Source organism: Homo sapiens, chromosome 10 (genome assembly GCF_000001405.40).
Source record: "Homo sapiens chromosome 10, GRCh38.p14 Primary Assembly".
NCBI classification, from domain to species: Eukaryota; Metazoa; Chordata; class Mammalia; order Primates; family Hominidae; genus Homo; species Homo sapiens.
The window spans coordinates 125,785,456-125,805,309 of NC_000010.11; the positions used below are offsets into that span (position 1 = coordinate 125,785,456).

General features: G+C 48.7%; 1 protein-coding gene across 22 annotated transcripts in view; it reads right to left on the reverse strand.

Moving 5' to 3' along the window:
* Positions 1 to 19,854, reverse strand: part of UROS (uroporphyrinogen III synthase) — a 38,279-nt gene that overhangs the window by 476 nt on the left and 17,949 nt on the right. For 4 of the 22 annotated variants that reach the window (NR_136678.2, NR_136675.2, XM_024448154.2 and 1 more), the window contains 4 exons: positions 12,610 to 12,690; positions 10,648 to 10,733; positions 9,425 to 9,523; positions 3,131 to 3,550 (listed from right to left, as the gene is read on the reverse strand). Coding sequence is in view for 15 of the 22 variants with exons in the window: in XM_024448154.2 (XP_024303922.1) it covers positions 3,413 to 3,550; positions 9,425 to 9,523; positions 10,648 to 10,733; positions 12,610 to 12,690 (404 nt within the window). In the remaining 7 variants the exon portion in view is untranslated. The other 18 variants (XM_017016611.3, NM_001324036.2, XM_047425708.1 and 15 more) reach the window with 14 other exon arrangements.

The window sequence follows — 19,854 nt, forward strand, 5'->3', positions numbered from 1 at the left end:
TGACTCTATCCCTGTCATCTACTTCCTTAGAATTTTTAGTAAAATGATTCTTGGTAGCTTATTTTCTGAAGACTTGTATACAACACAATGTTTTTATTTTGTTACCTTCTATTCACAGGGAAGTTGTATTAACGCTTAACTCATTAAGTGAGTGACCACGTGTAACTCATGAGTTAAAGCACACAAAACTTACAACACTGTCTGAGAACATGTCCCATCAATGAGCTGTGGCCGGAAGGTCCAGAGGGAACATCTTCAGTTCTCACTGCTAGCCCCTCTGGGCCTGGGGGGCCAGTTGCACTTTACTTTGGCTCTCAAATTCCTGTGTGATCCTTTATTCCTTCCCTGCATGAACTTCTTCAGCAACTCTCCTCCATCCAGGAGCTGGAGGGGAAGGCACGTGAGAGCAGATGCAAAAAGGGAATGTAGATCACACAACTGTGGCAAAACCCTGTGCAGCACATCTGTTGAGCGTCTTCTCCCACCCCACCCTTCTGTCCCTTCTGATCCCCAGGAAGGACACAAGGAGGCTGGCCACCCAGCCTGCTGGGGCGTTACTCTGTTTGGAGCTGGCAGGGTGGGGGGTGCGACTCACTCACCGTCCTGGGTGGCCCTACTGCCACTCAGGGTGTCGAGTGAGACTCTGGCTTCCACCCGGCTTCCCACATTGACTCTGGGAATCCGGCACCTAGAACATCTACGAACTCAAAGCTGAACCTCTCCCAGCACATCAGGAATAGCTGGATCTATTAAAAAGTAGGAATGAAGTTTGGGAACAGATTTCCAAGGCCTTTCTATAGGGCTGTACATTTGCACATGAACCTTTTTTTTTTTTTTTTTAGACAGAGTTTTGCTCTTGTTGCCCAGGCTGGAGTGCAGTGGCACGATCTCAGCTCACTGCAACCTCCAACTCCTGGCTTCAAGCAATTCTCCTGCCTCAGCCTCCCAAGTAGCTGGGATTATAGGCACCCTCCACATCTGGCTAATTCTATATTTTTAGTAGAGATGGGGTTTCACCATGTTGGTCAGGCTGGTCTTGAACTCCTGATCCGCCCGCCTCAGCCTCCCACAGTGCTGGGATTACAGGTGTGAGCCACCGCGCCTGGCCACATGAACCTCTTCTAAGAAAATACTGACCTCCCAGACCCTCAGATTCCTGGGAGATCAGATGGTCTGTTTAATGCTGCAGTTGTATCTTTGAAGAAAAGCCTTATGCCAGCTTCTGTTCACTCCCATCTAGCCACTGAGCCATAGAATGATTAACATAATTATTGCCCTTAACAGAAACTGCAGTCCCGTGGGAGGGTGAGCAGAAGAAATGAGGTGTGACATCCCTGGGCTTCACTTTCTTGAGCTGAGTAATTACAGATCTTACCTTCTGTCCCACCAATACCTTCAGAACCAGGGTTTCTCCACAGTCCCTTTCAAACTGGCTTTTGCCTACTCAGCCTTCACGTTCTCAGGAATCTCCAGCCCAATTGCCAAAGCAAGCCCAGGCTCCCGACTCACGCAATCGTCGAGGACACTGCGCCTGCTGCTTTGCTCATCTCCCGCCCCGTATGAGCTCCCTGCCTTCCTGATCCCAAACAGAACCATCTTTAACCACGCCCTGGCGCACTCCATCTGAAACAAGGCTTCGCCAGAACTGTTAATAGCCTCACATCTCTTCAAAAGGTGGCTTCGGGTTGTGTGGGGATGAAAGGACACACGTGTGGTGTTTACTAGCATGTAGACATTTAGTGAACCTTTGTCCCCGATTCTGTCCCCTACCCCGAGGCTCTGAAAAGGAACCTATTTTCCCTGCCCTGCAACAGGGTGTTTTTCCTCCTCCTTCAATGTGTGCTTCCGAAGCCCACACATCCCTCCCGCTCTTGTCTGCCTACAGCTTGGACTTCTCCTCCTCCTTCCTCACTTCCGGGCTTGTCTTGCTTCTCCAGCCTCTTCACCATGCATGAGGGCATTCCTGATCACACTCCAGCTATGGGGGACCCCATTCCTGCAATCCAGCAGTTTCCAAACACGGGTGCACACTGGAGGCACCTGGAGAGCGTCTAACACCTCCTGCTGCTTGGGCTTTATTCTAGAAACCAATTCAGGGGACTCTCTGGGGGTGGGGCCTGAGCTACTTCATTTTAGAAGCACATTACGTGGTTCTGATGTATAGCCAGGTTCTTAGTTCCTGGGCAAATCTATTTCACTTTGGTACTATGGTGAAAACGTGTATGAAACAGTGCTTGCCCAATTATTTTCCTTAATCTTGACACAAGTGGTCACTTCATGGAACCATCACCATAATCCCGTTTTAGAACAGTTCTCAAAGAATTTCTGTATACTCACATCAAGATTTGGAGAACAATCATCACCAAATTCTAACCTCTCAACTAGTGTGAATCTCCTACGAGGTGGCTGATGAATTTCATTAGTCTAGGCCTCAGTGCTTATGCTCGTCCATGCCTTTTAATTTTGTTCTGGTTCTGCCACTCACTAGCATGTGACCCTGACAAATCATTTCACCTCACCAGAGTCTGTTTCCTCACCAGAAAAATGGAACAATAGGAATGTCCACTCCTCAGGGTTATGAGGAATGGAGATCAGAGACGGGGAGCCCAAATGCCTTTCAGCCAGATCTTTCAAGGAGACAGAGGTGTGTGGGCAGAGCCTTCCCACCACCAGCCCACATGCTACTAAGAGACAAGTCTGGGTTTCAGTCAACTTAGCCTAAACTTCAGGCTGAGTTGGGAATGAAGTTTGGGAACTTTGGGAATGAAGTTTGGGAACAGATTTCCAAAGCCTTTCTGCAGGGCACTGCATTTGCACATGAACCTCTTCTCAGTAAATACCGGCCTCTCTAGCCCCTCAGATTCCTGGGAGATCAGATGGTTTGACTGTCTAATGCTGCAGCTGCATCTTTGAGGGAAAGCAAGTCTTTCTATATTTGAACCACAGTTGTCCATGGCTCACAAGCAGGAACTTCACGGTCCTTTTTATAGAATGAATAAACCTACTTTATATAGAGCAAATTTTCTGATTCATAGCAGGTTTGTGGGTTATCAGAGGTGGGCATACCTGTCTCCTCCCTGAACACAGCTTTGCACTTAAAATGACACACAGCAACCATACACTCAGTAAGCACAGGTAGTCAGTGTGGTTTATTTGACTTCCTTCCTGCTGGGCACAGGAAGCTCTCACAGGGCTAGGGTTTAAGCTGGCTTCCACAGAGGGCAGTCACGTGCACGTGGGCCTGAGGCCAGCCCCAGGTCAGGTCCCGATCCCCGGTCCTCAGGTGCTTCCACTCAGGCTTGAGGCAGGAGTCTGACGGCAGCAGCTCCCGAGAGCCCTTGCCGATGCCTGGCTCCATCCAGAGCCAGCCCAGCCCAGGGAGGCTGCATGGGGCCAGCGCTAGGTGGCTGACTCAGCAGCAGCCATGGGGCTGGAGAGCCTTCCTGATGCCAGTGGCCAGGGCTTGTGGCGTGGGGCTCTCTGCAGTGCAGCTTACAGGAAGGCCCTGGGCGGCCAGCGCGCGAGCCGTAGTGGGGCCGATGGCTGCAAACTATAAAGACAGAAGAGAAAACAGGGCTTCAGCACACCAGGAGGGGCTGGGGCAGCAGGCAGCTGGATGTGTGCAGGGGCCGTCAGCCAGCTTTGCGGTTGGACGTTACTGCTCATGTGACGTGTTTATAAAAATGACAACACTGCCCGATTCTAGCCCAGCTTCTGAGCGTGCAAAATACCTCTGCATCCACGCTCTCATCAGTCTGCCACCCTGAGCGACTGTCGCCAGGCTCAGGTGAGGGGCAGGGACTTGAAGGCCCCAGGCTGGTGCTCACCATCACGGCTGTGTCAGTGCAGTCCTTCCTCAGAGGCTCTAGCTGCAGACAGTTCTTCTTCGGGTGTTGGGGGCCCTGGGTCTGATCAAGGGGAGGATGGTGTGGCAGGGGCAGTGACTGAATCCCCAAGAAAGTAGAGCCATCAAGGTCAGGGCTCTGTGGGCACAGGGTTGGGATTTAAATCCCAGCTCCACAGGACAATGACCTTGGCCCGTGGCCCATCCTCTCTGGCCTCCATCTCCTCATCTGTCAAACCGAAAAGATAACAGGACTCTTCACTGGGCTGCTGTGGGGATCAAATGAGGTGACAGGTGTGAACCACTTGGCCTGGCCCAGAGATAAGCTCAATGACCGTCATGGGCTGCTGCCTATGTTGTCGTGATACTTCCAATCAGCCAATCCGGGGCACTGGCCTCATCCACAGGACATCTCTCTCTGAACAAGCACCACAGGCTCGATGGTTCTGTGCAGAGCCTCGCCTGGGATGGAGCACTGCTTCTGTCCCGGCTCTGCCCCCTGCTAGCTGTTATTAGTGCAAGTCCCTTAGCCTCTCTGATCCTCACCTATAAAAGGGGCACAGTTACCCTGGCCTCAGAGGGCTAGTGTGGGGGTTAAATGAGAGAAGGTCCTCATCCCCCACTCTCCTCTGCATTGAGACTGTGGACCCCAAACCTGTTTGGGAGCAAGTGAGCATCCAACATTGGCAGCCCCTGCCCAGCACTCCGCTTCATCCTCCCTCCCAGCAAGTGAGCAGCAGGCCAGGTGGTAGTGGAGGTAACAAGCCACCTGTACCTCTGCATAACCTCGGATGCTGCGGGACTGAGGCTCCTTCCTCCGGCTGAGTCAGAACGAGGGGAGGGAGGCCACTGTCCTGCAGAGGCCCCGCTCCCACCCCGCCCACAGTACTGCCTTGCTAAGCACCCATTGCTTAGGAAACTCCCTGAGGAAAAAATAAAGTTGGACCCCTACCTCACACAACACACAAAAATCAATTCAAAACAGATCAAATACCTAAGTTCAGAGCTAAAACTACACAACTCGTAGAAGGAAACATAGGAGTAAATCTTCAAAACACTGAATTAAAGCAACACTAAATTAATGGTTTCTTGGATACAACACCCGAAGCACAAGAAACAAAAGAAAAAAACAATAAATTGAACTTTATCAAAAAAGTAAAAAGACAACTCGCAGAATGGGAGAAAATTTTTACAAATCGTATGTCTGATAAAAAGTTTGTATTTAGAGGCCAGGCATGGTAGCTCATGCCTGTAATCCCAGTACTTTGGGAGGCCGAGGTGGGCAGATCACCTGAGGTCAGGAGTTCGAGACCAGCCTGGCCAACATGGTGAAACCCCCTCTGTACTAAAAATGCATATAGTAATCCCAGCTACTTGGGAGGCTGAGGCAGGAGAATTGCTTGAACCCGGGAGGCGGAGGTTGCAGTGAGCTGAGATCGTGCCACTGCACTCCAACCTGGGCAACGAGAGCAAAACTCCATCTCAAAAAAAAAAAAAAATGTATTCAGAGGCCAGGCGCCGTGGCTCATGCCTGTAATACCAACACTTTGGCAGGCCGAGGTGGGCAGATCACCTGAGGTCAGGAGTTCAAGACCAGCCTGGCCAACATGGTGAAACCCCCATCTCTACTAAAAATACAAAAATTAGCCAGGCATGGTGGCGTGCACCTGTAATCCCAGCTACTCAGGAGGCTGAGGCAGGAGAATAGCTTGAACCCCAGAGGCGGAGGTTGCAGTGAGCCACAATTGTGTCACTGCACTCCAGCCTGGGCAACAGAGCGAGACACCATCTCAAAAAAAAAAAAAAAATTGTATTCAGAATAAGGAATTCTGGCAATTCAACAATAAAACGACAAATAACCTGGGTTAAAAGTAGGCAAAGGATTTGAATAGATATCTCTTTAAAGAAGATATAAAAATGACTAACAAACACATAAAAAGATGCTCAACACTGTTAGTCATTAGGGAAATCGAAATCAAATACATGCTGAGAAACCACTTCAGACCCACAAGGATGGCCATAATCAGAGACAGAAAAATAAGGACATGGAGGATATGGAGAAACTGGAACCCTTACACATTGCTAGTGACAATGCAAAATGGCACAACCACTTTGGAAAATAGCAGTAATTCGACCGAACGTTAAAGTTACCTTAGATCTAGTAAATCTACTCCTAGATATACACCCAAGAGAAATGAAAATGTATGTCCACACAGAAAATTGTATTTGAATGTTTAGCATTATTTAATAGCCTGAAAGTGGAAAACAATCCAAATATCCATCAACTAGTGAATGGGTAAATAAAACGGTCCTCAGCATGTACTATTATTTGGCACTAAAAAGGGATGAAGTACTGGTACCAGCTACAGCATGGATGAACCTTGAAAACACTATGCTAGTGAAAAGAGTCAGTTACAAAAGACCACATACTGTATGATTCTATTAATATGAGATGTCCGGAATAGGTAAATCCATGGAGATGAAAAACAGTTGAGTGGTTGCCAAGGAGTGGGAGGAATGAGGGAATGAGGGGTGGCTGCGAATGGGTACCGGGTTTCTCTTTGGGGTGATGATATGTCCTGGAACTAGACAGTGGTGATGGTTGCACAAATCTGTGACTCTCATAAAAATCATGTTAAAGTTTACATATTGGGCTGGGCGTGGTGGCTCACACCTGTAATCCCTACATTTTGGGAGGCCAAGGTGGGAAGATTACTTGAGGCCAGGAGTTTGAGATCAGCCTAGGCAACACAGTGAGACCCCATCTCTAAAAAAATAAAAAAAAAATTTTTAAGTTTACATATTAAAATCATAAAAAGTAAATTTTATGGTTTGTGAATTACATCTCAATAAAGCTATTTAAAAATTTGAAAAAAAGAAACTCCCTGGGACTGGGAACCAGCAAATGGCAAACATGACTGTAGTCCTAGAGCAGGGGTATCAACAGTTTGGTGAAACAGCAGCTTTTTCACAGGAGCCTTTCACTCCTGTGTCAATGAATGCTCACATGATGCTGCCCCACAGAGCAGCAGTCTTCCCCAGGCCAGGCGAGGGGGCCCAGCATCAACGTTCTTTCTCCATCCCTGGCACAAACTGGACGTGAGTGCACCAGCCTGGCTTTGGGGGCAGCAGCCACGTTCACAGCCTGGCTCTGCCACTGTGGCTAGTGAGCACTAGGTGTGAAGATACCCACCTCACAGGCTGCAAGGGCATTTTGCTGTACACAGGAAATTCAGCTGCTGCCATTAGTGTGGTGGTGGTGATTACGAATCTGCTTACCTACTGCTTTGCAGTGACATCTCTGTGGCATTTATAGACAAGTGCGTGGTCTTCCCAAGTCAATGGATAAGTAGCAAGTTCAGGTCGGAAGTCACCCCCTTTGATCTTTTGTGGTGCGCCTGCATGTTGTGCAATGCTGTACAAACAGTGGGCCCTACAGGGACTCCTGGGGAGGGAGGACAGTAGCAAATCTGAGGCTGAGCTGAGACAGAAAAGCCTAACTACCAACTCACGGGCTAGGACTGTGTCCTCTGTGAACCTTGAAAGCACCTCACTATCCAGCGCCAAGTCCCAGTGTCGAGGGACAACTCACAACCCACACACAGTGCCTTCGTGGCCCCCAAGCAGTCCATAGTCACTGTGAGCAAGGCCAGCTCTGTCACTTTCTCCTCCTCAGCAATGGCAGAGGTGTTAACTACTGGCAGGCAGGGTAATCAATCACTGTAGTAAGAGGCGAGGGGGCTACTGAGAGCTCCTCAGAGTGTCTGGAGGGCTGCAGAAATGGGTGTGACAGATACAGGATAGGAACACGCACTCAGCCCCCAGCTGCCATGGGTGTGGACAATGCAGGCAGCAGTCTATTCAGAAAGGCCTGAGTTCTTGGTTCAGATGCTGAGTATCCATTTGTGCTTTTAAATATGCTCACTTTGAAAGAAGATAGAGTATAAATCTTTTGTTCTTCCTCTAGGCAAACACTAAGAAGCTTGGGGAAAACTGTGTTAGGCTTATACCACCAGGCATCTCACAGCATTGTGTGACTTGGGGGTGGGTGGGTGGGGTGGAGGTGGGGACTCCTCCTACAGGCCCAGGGGAGAGGCAGCAGGGCACAGAGGGACAAGAACCAGAGCAGGACCAGCACCGTGACCCATCCTGACCTGCAATATGACGTAAGCGCTGGTCATATGGACCAGTTGCCATGCTAAGCACTTTATGGGTCCTATCTCTTTAATTTTTCTTTTTCTTTCTTTTTTTCTTTTATGGGGCAGGTACGGAGTTTCACTCTTGTCACCCAGGCTGGAGTGCCGTGGCGCGATCTCGGCTCACTGCAACCTCAGTCTCCAGGGTTCAAGCGATTCTCCTGTCTCAGCCTCCCATGTAGCTGGGATTATAGGCGCATGCCACCATGCCCAGCTAATTTTTATATTTTTAGTAAAGACGGGGTTTTCATCATATTGGACAGGCTGGTCTGGAACACCTGACCTCAGGTGATCCGCCTGAGGCCTCCCAAAGTGCTGGGATTCCAGGTGGGAGCCACAGCGCCCGGCCTCTCTCTAATCTTTCTAACCACAAGATTCAGATATTGTTTTTCTTCCTCGGTGACCTGTGTGAGTCCTGGGCCTTCTAGGAACTCAAAACATGACTTTGGCAAGTTGTTTCACCTCTCTAGCCCTCAGTGTCCTCACCTGTAATGAGGAACACTGACCTCTTTTTCTGGATACCCACCACTGGACTGGTGTGAGAATTGTATCAGTTACTGCCCAGAAGTGCATCAACTGCTCAGCAGCTCCTGAGACCATGGCAAGGCATCACCATGGCTGACAATGTGGAATCAGTCTTCCCAGGTTCAACTGCAGCTCTTCCTTCTCAGCAGTGTGACCTACAGACAGGCCATATGATGTCTCTGAGCCCCGTGCTCCATCTTTAAAACTGGGAGAGCGGTGCATACTCCCCACATGAGATGCACCTGTGAGAAGGCAGGTGAAGCCTTTTGCTCTTCCTGACTGCAGTGAGTGGCAGTGTCTGTCCTTGGGCTCTGGGTCACATCCTGCACCCTCTCCTCAGTCCCTCTGGAGCCAGTTCAAGGGTGTTTCTATTACAGACACAAGAGTTGTGGTTATTTGTAGACTCATAATAAATACAGTCCCTAGTAAGTGAGAATGTAAACCCTTTAAAAGATATGAAAAAGGTGACTGCTTTTAGAATAGACAATAATGGCAAACATAAGATGGGGGAAAGGAAGGAAAGGATGTTAACACCTGTACCAAGCCCTGAGCTAATTCAGGACTTTACTCAAATTCCCTCATGTAATCCTGAGACTCATCCTAAGCAGGGAAGACCATACACATGTCTATGAAAGCCACAGAGAGACAATTATCCCCATGCTGCAAGTGAGGAAACGGGCTGGGAGAAGGTGAGCAATCTGTGCAACAGCCCAGCAGGAGGTAGAGCTGCCCTTCCAATTCTAAGGCACCTGCTAGGCCAGGGGTGTCTCACTTGACATTGAAGCCCTAGGATAATTCATAAAGATTAAAAAAAAAAAAAAGAATCTGAAAAAGACCAAAAGCTCATTGAATAACTTACCTTAATTTGATCGATATTGTCACCAGATAACTCCTGAATGTGCTTGAGACTGTATGTGAGGCCAGAGGGACTAAAAAATGTGATGCTGGCTGGAACCCCCTGTGGGGAACAGAAAACAAGATCAGTCCTTGCCATGAGACTGAGGAGAGACAACATTCCTCCGGCTTCATCCGCATCAAGACCTCAAGCCACAGGCCACCAAGGCGGTTTTAGCACAGGAGTGGTTCCCGGCTGATGCTGGCATCCTCTGCTCCAGTGAGGCAGGATTCTGGTAGGGAACTGTTGGAAAGAGCAGGCTGCCATCAGAAAGCTGGTGCTGCCCCAGGTCTGTGTCTGCCTGGCCAGAGGACATGGGCATCCCGGAGCTCATGTGCCCAGCAGCCTAGACAATGCCTCTAGCTCCTGTGGTCATACGGCACTGATCACATGAGGCAGTGGTGTGAGGCAGTGCTGGCTCCCTGTCAATGCTCCCTCCCTCTGGAAGCAGAGCAAGCAGACAAGCCTGCCTGGCCTTTTTGCATTTGGTTTGTCCTATCAGGCCCTCCCAATACCAGGCAAGACATTCAGAAGCTTGCCCTGGGAGAGGAAAGGGAGGTGTTTTACTGCATATAAATGCTGAAGACATCAAGGAACTCAAGCAAGAGCTATCCATTCTCCTGCCTGAGTCCTCCAACAGTCCCCACGGACTCCCAAATTCAATCCAGACTCCTTGGTGGCCACTGTCAGCTCTTCCCACTATGGGCTCAGCCTCCCTCTCCAGTGTCTGCCCCTCCAGCTCCACCAGCATCCCCGTATGATGAATAGCAATGATAACATCAAGGCCACTATTTACCTCAGGGTTGTATGTATCTTCGATGCTGTACAAAAAGCTTTGCGTAAATTATCTCCTTTAACCCCTATAAAAACTTACCACTTCCTCAAAGTCACCACATTAATCTCTCCAAAGAGGGAGATTTCATAGACCACCTACTACAAGCACCTCTTACCGAAATCACTGATTTCAAACCAGCTTGCAATAGACATTTCATGAAACAACCACAAAATTGTTTCCATTCCTAATTCTAGAATCCCAGACCAACTATGTGACAGGAAAAGGCATGCAGGTGACAGCTGGGGACAGTGAAACCACATATAGAACCAACATCTATCAGCTCGTGCCCTTCACCCTCTGCTTCCCCACCTGGGCACCCACCCTGCCAGAACCGCCCCCAAACGCCACGTACCTGCTGGGAATAGTAGCTGTTCAGGTTCCCTTGGATTCCTGGGTGTGCAACTGTCTGATACACAGTTATGCTTTCCATGGCAATCCCTGGGCACAATCAAAAGCAGGAAAGACTTTACCGCACTGGGCACACAATGGGGCCTCCACCACTTCACAGCACAGTTGGTGAAACCTCCCAATACAGCACCACCCTCCTGGAACGAGCTGCTTGGAAGCTGAGAGGCCAGACTCAGCAGAGAGGCCTTGAACAGTCCTCTGCAGCCTGCTAAACGCTGTGGAGTGGTCCGGTGGAAGAGGAGGCTGAGACGGCAGAAAAAGAACAAAGGCCCAGAAACCAAAGCCTTCATTTGTACCCAGAATGCCTTTTGTTCCCAGGCTTATGTAGGTTTGTCCACACAAGGCCGTCCCTAGTCACTCCATGGATCCCACACAGACTGGTTGCATGACACCAGCAAGTGTAGGAAGGGCAGCTCTTGGGAGAGGCCTGGAGTCCAGATCCCCGGCTGCACTCCAGCTGTGCCTCCACATGGCCACGCGTCCCCTCTCTGGGCCTCAGTGTGTCCACTTGTACAAGAACTGATTAAGCCGTGGACTTTCCCACATTCCTCCCTGTGCCATTCAGCGACTCTGAATATTCCCAGGGGTTTTCAGGGCTGGTGATGAGGCGCTAGGCACTGAAGGGACTCACGCAATTTCAGTCAGATATTGACTTATGAGGGGCAGCCAGATGGTAGGTGAAAAGTAGTGAAAACTCAGGCTTCTGAAAATAAAATGGGAAACTCTCTCAGAAGAAATGATAACTTCAGCATAAAACAGCAACCTATTGCCATTTCATATCCCTGAAAACTAAAGAAATAAACTGAAGTATCAAACCTCTGATTTATATATTATTTCTTTAAGGGTAACTGAGACCAAGCTTTCTCTTATTTTATCCTGGTATTTTCTTGTTCCCGAAAAGCTAATGATTTTGCTGATCTTATTACCTAATGTCCTCTGCCTTTATTCCTGGTAGCTTTAGAAGACAGATGATATGGGTAGAAGGGATACGATCTAGCTCCATTTTAATACGGGGGGAAAGTTACAAGGTCTAAGGTCATCCTGGGTCACACTGCTCATGTGGACTATTAGAGCTTCAAAACCCTGGGAGAGACAGTAACAGTCATAGTTCCATGGAGAGCTTGCCTTTGGAGAACAAGGTGTCATGCTACATGATCTCTGAACACCTCTATGAGGCAGGTACCATGGTTATGTACAGATAACCATATTTCACAGATAAGGATACTGATGCACAGAGAGATTACATCACTTACCTTCATTCACATAGCTAATAAACAGCAAGAGGGAGAATTCAAATCTGTTTTTATCTCATCCGAAAGCTGGTACTCCAAACCACTGATAGACTTTGCTCCCAGACTAACTATGTGACAGCAAAAGGTGCGCAGGTGACAGCTAAGACATCTGCATCGAGGACGGCAGCATGCTTCAGAGGCAAGAACTGGTTTCTAGGTGCTGACAGTCTTGGGAGCCACGGCAGGTGGAGCTGGAGGGGCAGGTGGAGCTTGTGTGGCTCGGCTGGAGGGTGCTGCATGCTATTATAAGATCGGCTACATTTGTAGACTTTCTTCTACATGTGGAACCAATTCTATGGTTTGTCACCTCAGTTATCTGCCCAGGGGCCACCTCCACATCTCGATCTCCTGTCCTCTTGGTGAAGGACTGGAGACACACTGTGTGCTCCTAGCTTGAGCTAACAAGCTGGGAAGAGTGGATCCAAAGAAAGGAAAGTGCAGACTGCACGTCCACTCTTCCCATGAGCATGGTCTCTGTGTCTCCTGGCCTGGCTTATCCAACCCAGCCCTGCTCTCCCTTGTGTGCTCTCTGCAGGGCCACCCACTTCTATCACTGCAAAGGCTCCTGGTGGATCCCAAAGTGGTAAGGGATGCAGTCAAAGCATTCTACTCGCCTTTGTCCTTGAGCGCTTTTGGCAGGATTTCTCTTTTGAGGTTTCCACAGGGAAATAGAAGAGGCAGTGCTGAGGACTCCCCTGTGAATAAATAACCAGGCTTTGTGAAAACTCAGGGCCAGTGCCTGTGCACAGGGGAATGGGGAGGGGCAGCTTTGGGAAGGGGGAAGCAGCCCTGGGCTCCAGGCCTGGCTCTGCTTCTAGGACTCAGTTTCAGCATCTGTAAACAGGAAGAGCACCTGCTACCTTGCCGAACTTGAAGGGTTGTTATATGAAGATCATAAGAGGTAATGTGTGTGGAGGTGCTCAGAAAATGAACATCCACACAAACAAGTTAGCCACATTCTTTTAACTCCTTCTGATCCTGAAGTGACTCCCTAGCCTGCAGTCACTATTTAGAAGGCAGACTTTGCACCTTAACTAAGTCAGGAAGGTGAAGATCAGGCCTGGTGCTGACTGGCACTGGGGCAAACATTTTCTACCTTTAAAGAGGCTCCAGATGAGCCAGGGCTCATGCTCAGGAGGCAGCCGGTAACCGGCAGCCAGGAGTGGCTCTGCAGCCACCCCCAACAAAGACAAGCTCACTGCCCACTCCTCTTCTAGCCACACCAACAGCCACTAGGCCAAGTGCCAAAAGGCGAATGCACAGGCCTTAGAGAGAGAAGCCTGCTAAGAACGGCCTGCCTCTCCTTTCACCACAACCTCTGCTCCCAGCATCTCCACTCTGGGAAGACTTAAGGGCATTTTCAGCCCTTAACTCTTTGCAGAATAGTGAGGACAGCATAGGATTTGAATGCCAATTTGCAACAATACTGTCCAAAAAAGCTGATAAGTTGTCAAATGCCAGAATCTTCCCCAAATGTGAAAACACAGCATTTTAGTAGAACCAGCCATTACCCCCCACATCCATCCGTAAGACATAAGAAATTTTAATGGGCGTTATTCATACACATTGTATATTTTCTCACATCCTTATGATCTCTCTGATCACATCTTCTCTGGTGACTACAACGAGAGGAAGGAGCAAAACAACCCCTTTCCATCCAGTACCACCTCTAGCAAGCAGCAGCCAAACAACAGGAATAACTGCAGGCCACTTAATTTCAAGTGTATAAAGGCTACATACTGGTGAATGTTTTCTTTATTTAAACTGCTCTGTAAATATCTGTACCAACATAAAATAAAATAATGAATTGGGAGATTGTTAAATTCGTTAATAGATGCCTGCTGATTTCTCTCTTCCAGTGCGAGGAAATGTTTTCATGCTCTGCATCCCTAGAGACATATTTTCAAAGCCATGTTCAGAGGCAATTTTCTTCCCCGTTTCTGTGTGTCTATGTGTGTGTTGGGGAATGCAGGGTGGAAGATGTTAGGGGCCAAAGCTCTTCCTGGGGATCCAGTAAGAGAACTACAGTCCAGTTTTTCAGCAAGCCCAGCCCCACAGGTGTGCGAGGGGCCTTGGAAAGAGTCAGGAATCTTCCCTTGGCAGCACCTCTTGTGAGGGTCCAGTGGAGTCCTGAGCTGCTCATTCTTATCTCTGACTCACAAGGCTGGGCCGAAGGGGTACGCGGCTCCCTGAGGGCAGCTGCTTGTCTCTATCTCTCCACCACCTGTGCCTTGCAGAGAGCTTGGCTCTGCAGGCACACAGGGCCCACAAATGTCCAACCAGCTCAGCTGACTTCACTGAAAAGGCACCACCCTGTCAGCAGAAAGGAGAAAATTGAAAATGTCCTGGCTGAGTCCTCCTTTGCTGGTGAGGAGAGATCTACAACTACATGTCCTGAAAACTAGCCCACTTCAAAAAGCCAAAGACAAAGGAGTTATTCCCTTTTGGAATATGCTTAATGCCTGGGGATTTATCTTCAGCCCCAACAGGCCAATGGGATGGTTAAGGCTGACACAGAGATAGTGAACTGTGGAGCTCAAAGGCTCTGCTCTCCGTTCGTTTAACAGGAAGAAGGCCTGGAATTCTGGGCTGTCCGGGCTGATGATGAGTAATAACACTGAAAATCCTAACACAGTATTATTATTACGCAGCTCAGGAGGGGGCTTGATAAAGTCACTGCAGGCAATTAAGAAAATGATGATACAAGCAGGAGGCAGACAAATGCCTAGGCAGATAGGGAAGGGTCCCCGGTGAGACCTCACCTTCAAGCCCAGAACAGCCTGAAGTCTGAAAGACCAGATTGCTGGTCCCAGATGAAACCAGCGACCCAGGGGCAGAACGTCTGCCCGTTTGTCTGCCCTTTCCCAATTGATTCTTTCCGAATAATGCCTTTTAACCAATCAAATGTTGCCTTTTCCGATACTACCTATGGTTTACCTGGGCATCCTCGTGTGCGTGCTGGGGGAACGGGGCGGAGTCACTAGGATTCGCACCTTACGCAGGGGAGGAGCCTGGCCTCATCAGCTCATGTGTGGTACCCCTGGTATTCAATAATGAGGGAGAAACCTGCTTGGAGAATCCCTCTCTTTGTTGAGAGCTTTTCTTTCTTTCTTTCTTTTTTTTTTTTTTGTGACGGAGTCTCACTCTTTCACCCAGGCTGGAGTGCAGTGGTGCAATCTCAGCTCACTACAACCTCTGCCTCCTGGGCTCATGCAATTCTCCTGCCTCAGCCTCCTGAGTAGCTGGGATTACAGACGCGGCCACCAAGCCCAGGTAATTTTTGTATTTTTAGTAGAGATGGGGTTTCACCATGTTGGCCAGAACTCCTGACCTGGTCTCAAACTCCTGACTTCAGGTGATCCACCTGCCTCGGCCTCCCAAAGTGCTGGGATTACAGGAGTGAGCCACTGCGCCCAGCTGAGGGCTTTCCTTTCACTTAATAAGTTCTGCCCTTCTCACCCTTCAATGTGTCCACATGCCTAATTTTTCCTGGTCATGAGACAAGAACCCAGATTTAGCTGAATTAAGGAGCAAAAAGTCCTGCATCAATGACACTGACTTTTTAAAATGTCATCTTACTGAAGGACGTGCACACATCTGTAGAACAGTAACAACTTCCAAGTTAACAATGACTTCCCCCTCTCGGGCACTGCCATGAGAATCAGTTCGAGCAGACAGTGGGCGCCTGAGTGCTGATAATAAGGATGAGGAGGCTGATCGGAGGAATGGAAGAAAAGCCCAGTAAGTGTGCCAGGCTGCAGAGATTTTCCCAATCCAGGAGGACATTTCAAATAAACTGCAGTGCAATCTTTCTGCCCACACAGTTTCTCTCTCTTTTCAAAAGTTATACTGTATTCTACCTTTTACCATTTAGTGTGTAATTACTTTCCCATTAGAGGAGATATCTGGGAAAGAAGGAGAATCTATCAGAACAATGAGTTATCAGATTAAATGGATTAATAGCTTTAAGCACTTACAATAGTGCCTGTCACAAAGTAGTTAAGTGTTAACTAAAATAAATAGGCATAGCTATGAATTGGCCTGTTTACTACAAGCATTAGAGGTAGATTTTTAGCTTTTAAAATCAGGCATCAAAGTTTACTGAGAAAGAAAAATCATTAATGCCTTGGTAAAGCCAAGGTGAAGGTCCTTATTAGCAGTCAACATGGATTTTTATTTGGATATTCTAATTGCAAATGGAAGATTTATTAGGACCCATAGATATGCTGGTAATAAATTAGAGGAAATGGCAGAAGTTTGCAAAGAATGCAGACCAGTATTCTCCCAGATAAGGTCAGAATATGTTAATATCTATCCAACCAAGCCTTGAGTCAGTTAACTGAAACACCAATGTGATCACTCAGAAGTGACATTGATCTCTTCTGTCTTGTGTTTGCAAAGCAGGGACACCAGCCTGATGGTTCTGGGTCTTCTAATGAACAACGACTCAGAGGTTCACTTCTGTCTCCTTACAAACAAACTGTGGGTACAGCTCAATGTCTTCACTGAAAACAGGCAGGAGCCACCTATTCTATTAAAGAGCTAATTGTCAGCCACCCATAGAAATAATTACTATTCTTTGTAGAACTTAATCCCACAAGCAATGTCAAGATCTACCATTTACATTTATTTCTACATTTTTAAAAGAAGGGCTTTGATACCATTTATGCGGTGATGATGACTCTCTAGAAACAACATTAGAAACAAAAAGCCTGGAGCCAGACAAGACCCATCTGCATCCTGTACCAGGAACCCCTGGAGCGAACCCTCCACACTGATGTGTGGCTCCATGACCTGAGGAGCGATCCCATGGGGCTGGGGCCACATGGCACGGGGCCCAACCAGTGCTCTCTGATCCGGAAAGCTGGAACAACTGTCTGTGGCTTCCCTGCAGCTATTTCAACACCTGGCTGAATAAAAGAGAGTCACTGCCTGTCTAGGCTGCTGTTAAAGAAAATGACCCCCAGCAATCCAGTCTGGAACATTCCACAGAAAGCAACACGTTGGCCATCAGGCCTTTTCCTTTCAGTTGCTTAGCCTCAGATGCTCTTTGAATTGGCCTCCAGAGGGCTTCTCCACACTGGTGCATGGAGAGGCCTCTTCCGAGAACACCATGTGGCACAAGTGGCCAGAGAAGCACAGGGCCAACCGTCTTTACTAGCAGCAAATGGTGAACACTTTCTACCACAGATTACAGTCTCCTGAACTGTATGTTTTTAGCTTGAAAATGTCTCACAGTGCTGGCTCATGAAACATTCTAGAGAAAGCCTAGCAGTATCTCTTTAGGTACAGCCCAGGTAGGGAGGGTAGGTCTGAGATGGCACGAACTCCCAGCGGTACAGACTGAGGCATCTGTGCGAGGCCCTGTGCGCTCCTGGAGATGAGTTGAGGTCAGGAGGTCCCAGCAGCCCCTTTCCCTTGGGGCTCAGGCTGGCCTCACCCTCAGGGGCTTTCCCCACCGCCTTGCCACCAAGGATGCGGCTAAACCCCAGATATTACTCCAATGATTCATCAGCATAAGGGCACGTCCAAACCCACTTTCTTCACTTCAAAAGATTCCTTTGACTTCTTCACCTGAGGGAAGAGAAATGAGCATATTTTGGACTTGGACTAAGTATCTTTTAGAAGCACACAGAGCAAGGGAGACAGGAAGAGCTTTGGAGTCAGCCAGTCCTAGGCTTGAGCCCCAGCCTACCACTATTAGCTCTGTTCCTTATGGACAAGTTTTCCCTCTCTGAGCTCAGTTTCTTCATGAGCAAAAGCAGGTCTAGTAATCGTTCCCATGTCACAGCTCAGTACCACAATATGTCAGACAATTAAAGGCATGCACAAAATGCCAATGTATGTCAGACTCATAACGGGCCCTCAAACTCCCTGATAGCATTTCTGTTATGCCCCCAGAGCCTCCAGGACCCCGTGGAAGCTGCCTGCCAGCAAGCCCTGGAGCACACTGAGCTGTGGGAAGACGGCTCCTTCAAGGCAAGACCTGCCACAGCACCCCAGGCCCTGCTCTTAGACTGCGATGGCTCTGTAGGTTTTAAAGAATGCTCTTTTTACTTAAGGGATAAATTTCAGAGACACTCCTAAAAAGTCCCAGGAACAAGAGAACTGGGTCCTAATCCAGTGACTGCCTTTTGGGCCCAATCCTGGCTGTACCTAGTGATGCCCGCTAAGAGGGAGCAGGCAGTGTTGTGTTCCCGTCTAGGCCTGGGGAGGACCAATCCAGCCTGAGTCTGACCCGCAGGGGCTGATGTAAGGCCCCGTGCCTCAGGGCTCCGGTCAACTCTCAGAGGCTACTCAGTGCTCCCCAGCTTGCCACCCACTGCCCCTGCCATGCTGTACTCTCCAGGAAAACCCTCTCCTTCCACGTCTCTGCTCAGTGGCTCCCTCTGAGTGGGAGGGCTTGGCCATGGCTACTGCCTGAGGGAGGGCCTGCCCTTCTCTGTGGAGAGGAGGCCATGCCTTTTGTACAGACTTTCCTGAAGACCTCTGCCTTCTTTTGGACACCCTGACATGACACTGTGATACAAGAGGAAATATTTCGTTTTCCTCCCTGTTCCAGGCACAGAGCTTCTGAAACTCTTGGAACTTCCCATTAGAGGTGAGAGGAGCATCTTTTGTTATTCATGATAAACCCCTTTTAACCATACTGGAGTTTATGCTAATGAGGTGACTGGTGGTGGCCCCTAGAAAGCTTCAGGATGGGGGCTGAAGGCCACACAGAGGATCACAACCATGTGATCAAAGGGTTGGAGATGGAGCTAGTCACCAGGGGTCAATGATTTAATCAATGGTGCCTACATAATGGAACCTCCATAAAACCCCTCAACTATGAGTTTATAGAGCTTCTGGGTTGGTGAACACATCCATGTGCCAGGAGGGTGGCGCACCCCAACTCCATGGGGGAAGAAGCTCCTGTGTACTCAGGACCCTTCCAGACCTCTTCATCTGGCTGTTTATCTGTGTCCTTGTTATCTCCTTTATAAAAATCAGTACACATAAGTGTTTCCCTGAGTTCTGTGAGCCATTCTAGCAAATTACTGAACCTGAGTAGGGAGTCGTGAGAACTCCTGACTTGTAGCCAACTTGGACAGAGGTCCCTCAGCATCCAATACTTGTATCTAAAGTGGGGGACAGTTTGCTAAGACTGAGCCCTTAAAGCTGTGGGGTCTGGGTTAATTCTGGGTAATGTCAAAATTAAGTTGTAGGACACCCAGCTGTTATCTGGAGCATTGGAGAATTGGTCATTGATATGAGGAAAAACCCCACCTATTTGGTATCCTGAGTGTTTTACAGGTAGAAACAGGTATCTTAATAGCAGGCCCACCATACAAAAACTGTTCATACCTCTTCTGGTCACTTAATCCACCCTGCCTTATCACGGTTACTGATGTATATGTTCCCCACCCTACCCCACCTCCAGCCCCAGCTAGGCTGGGAACTTCCAGAAGACAGGAATGGAGTTAAACTCCTCTTCAGTCCCAACGCCCTGCAAAGGGCCTGGCACACAGGTGCTCCTGGGTAAACATCTGCCGAACCATATTGAACTGACTTGTTCTCCTGTGATGTGGGAAGCAATATGGGGGGTGGGGCAAGAGAGGCGTCAGTCAATGCATTAATACCTGAAAGCCATGTCCGAGCCGATGAACGCACATCCACTGAACTAAGGAGTGCACAGGCTCAGGATTGCCAAGTGGCCGAAACACTCTGGGACTACAGCTTATTCATCTGAGTGGCCAGAAAAGGCCCGTGTAGTTCCTCTAAACCGGAGGCTCCTTAAGCCTCTGCCCACCAGATTCAAACACAGAGTCAAGCACACTTACGTCTTCATCCCTGCAGGAGCCCCAGTCACTGTAAAT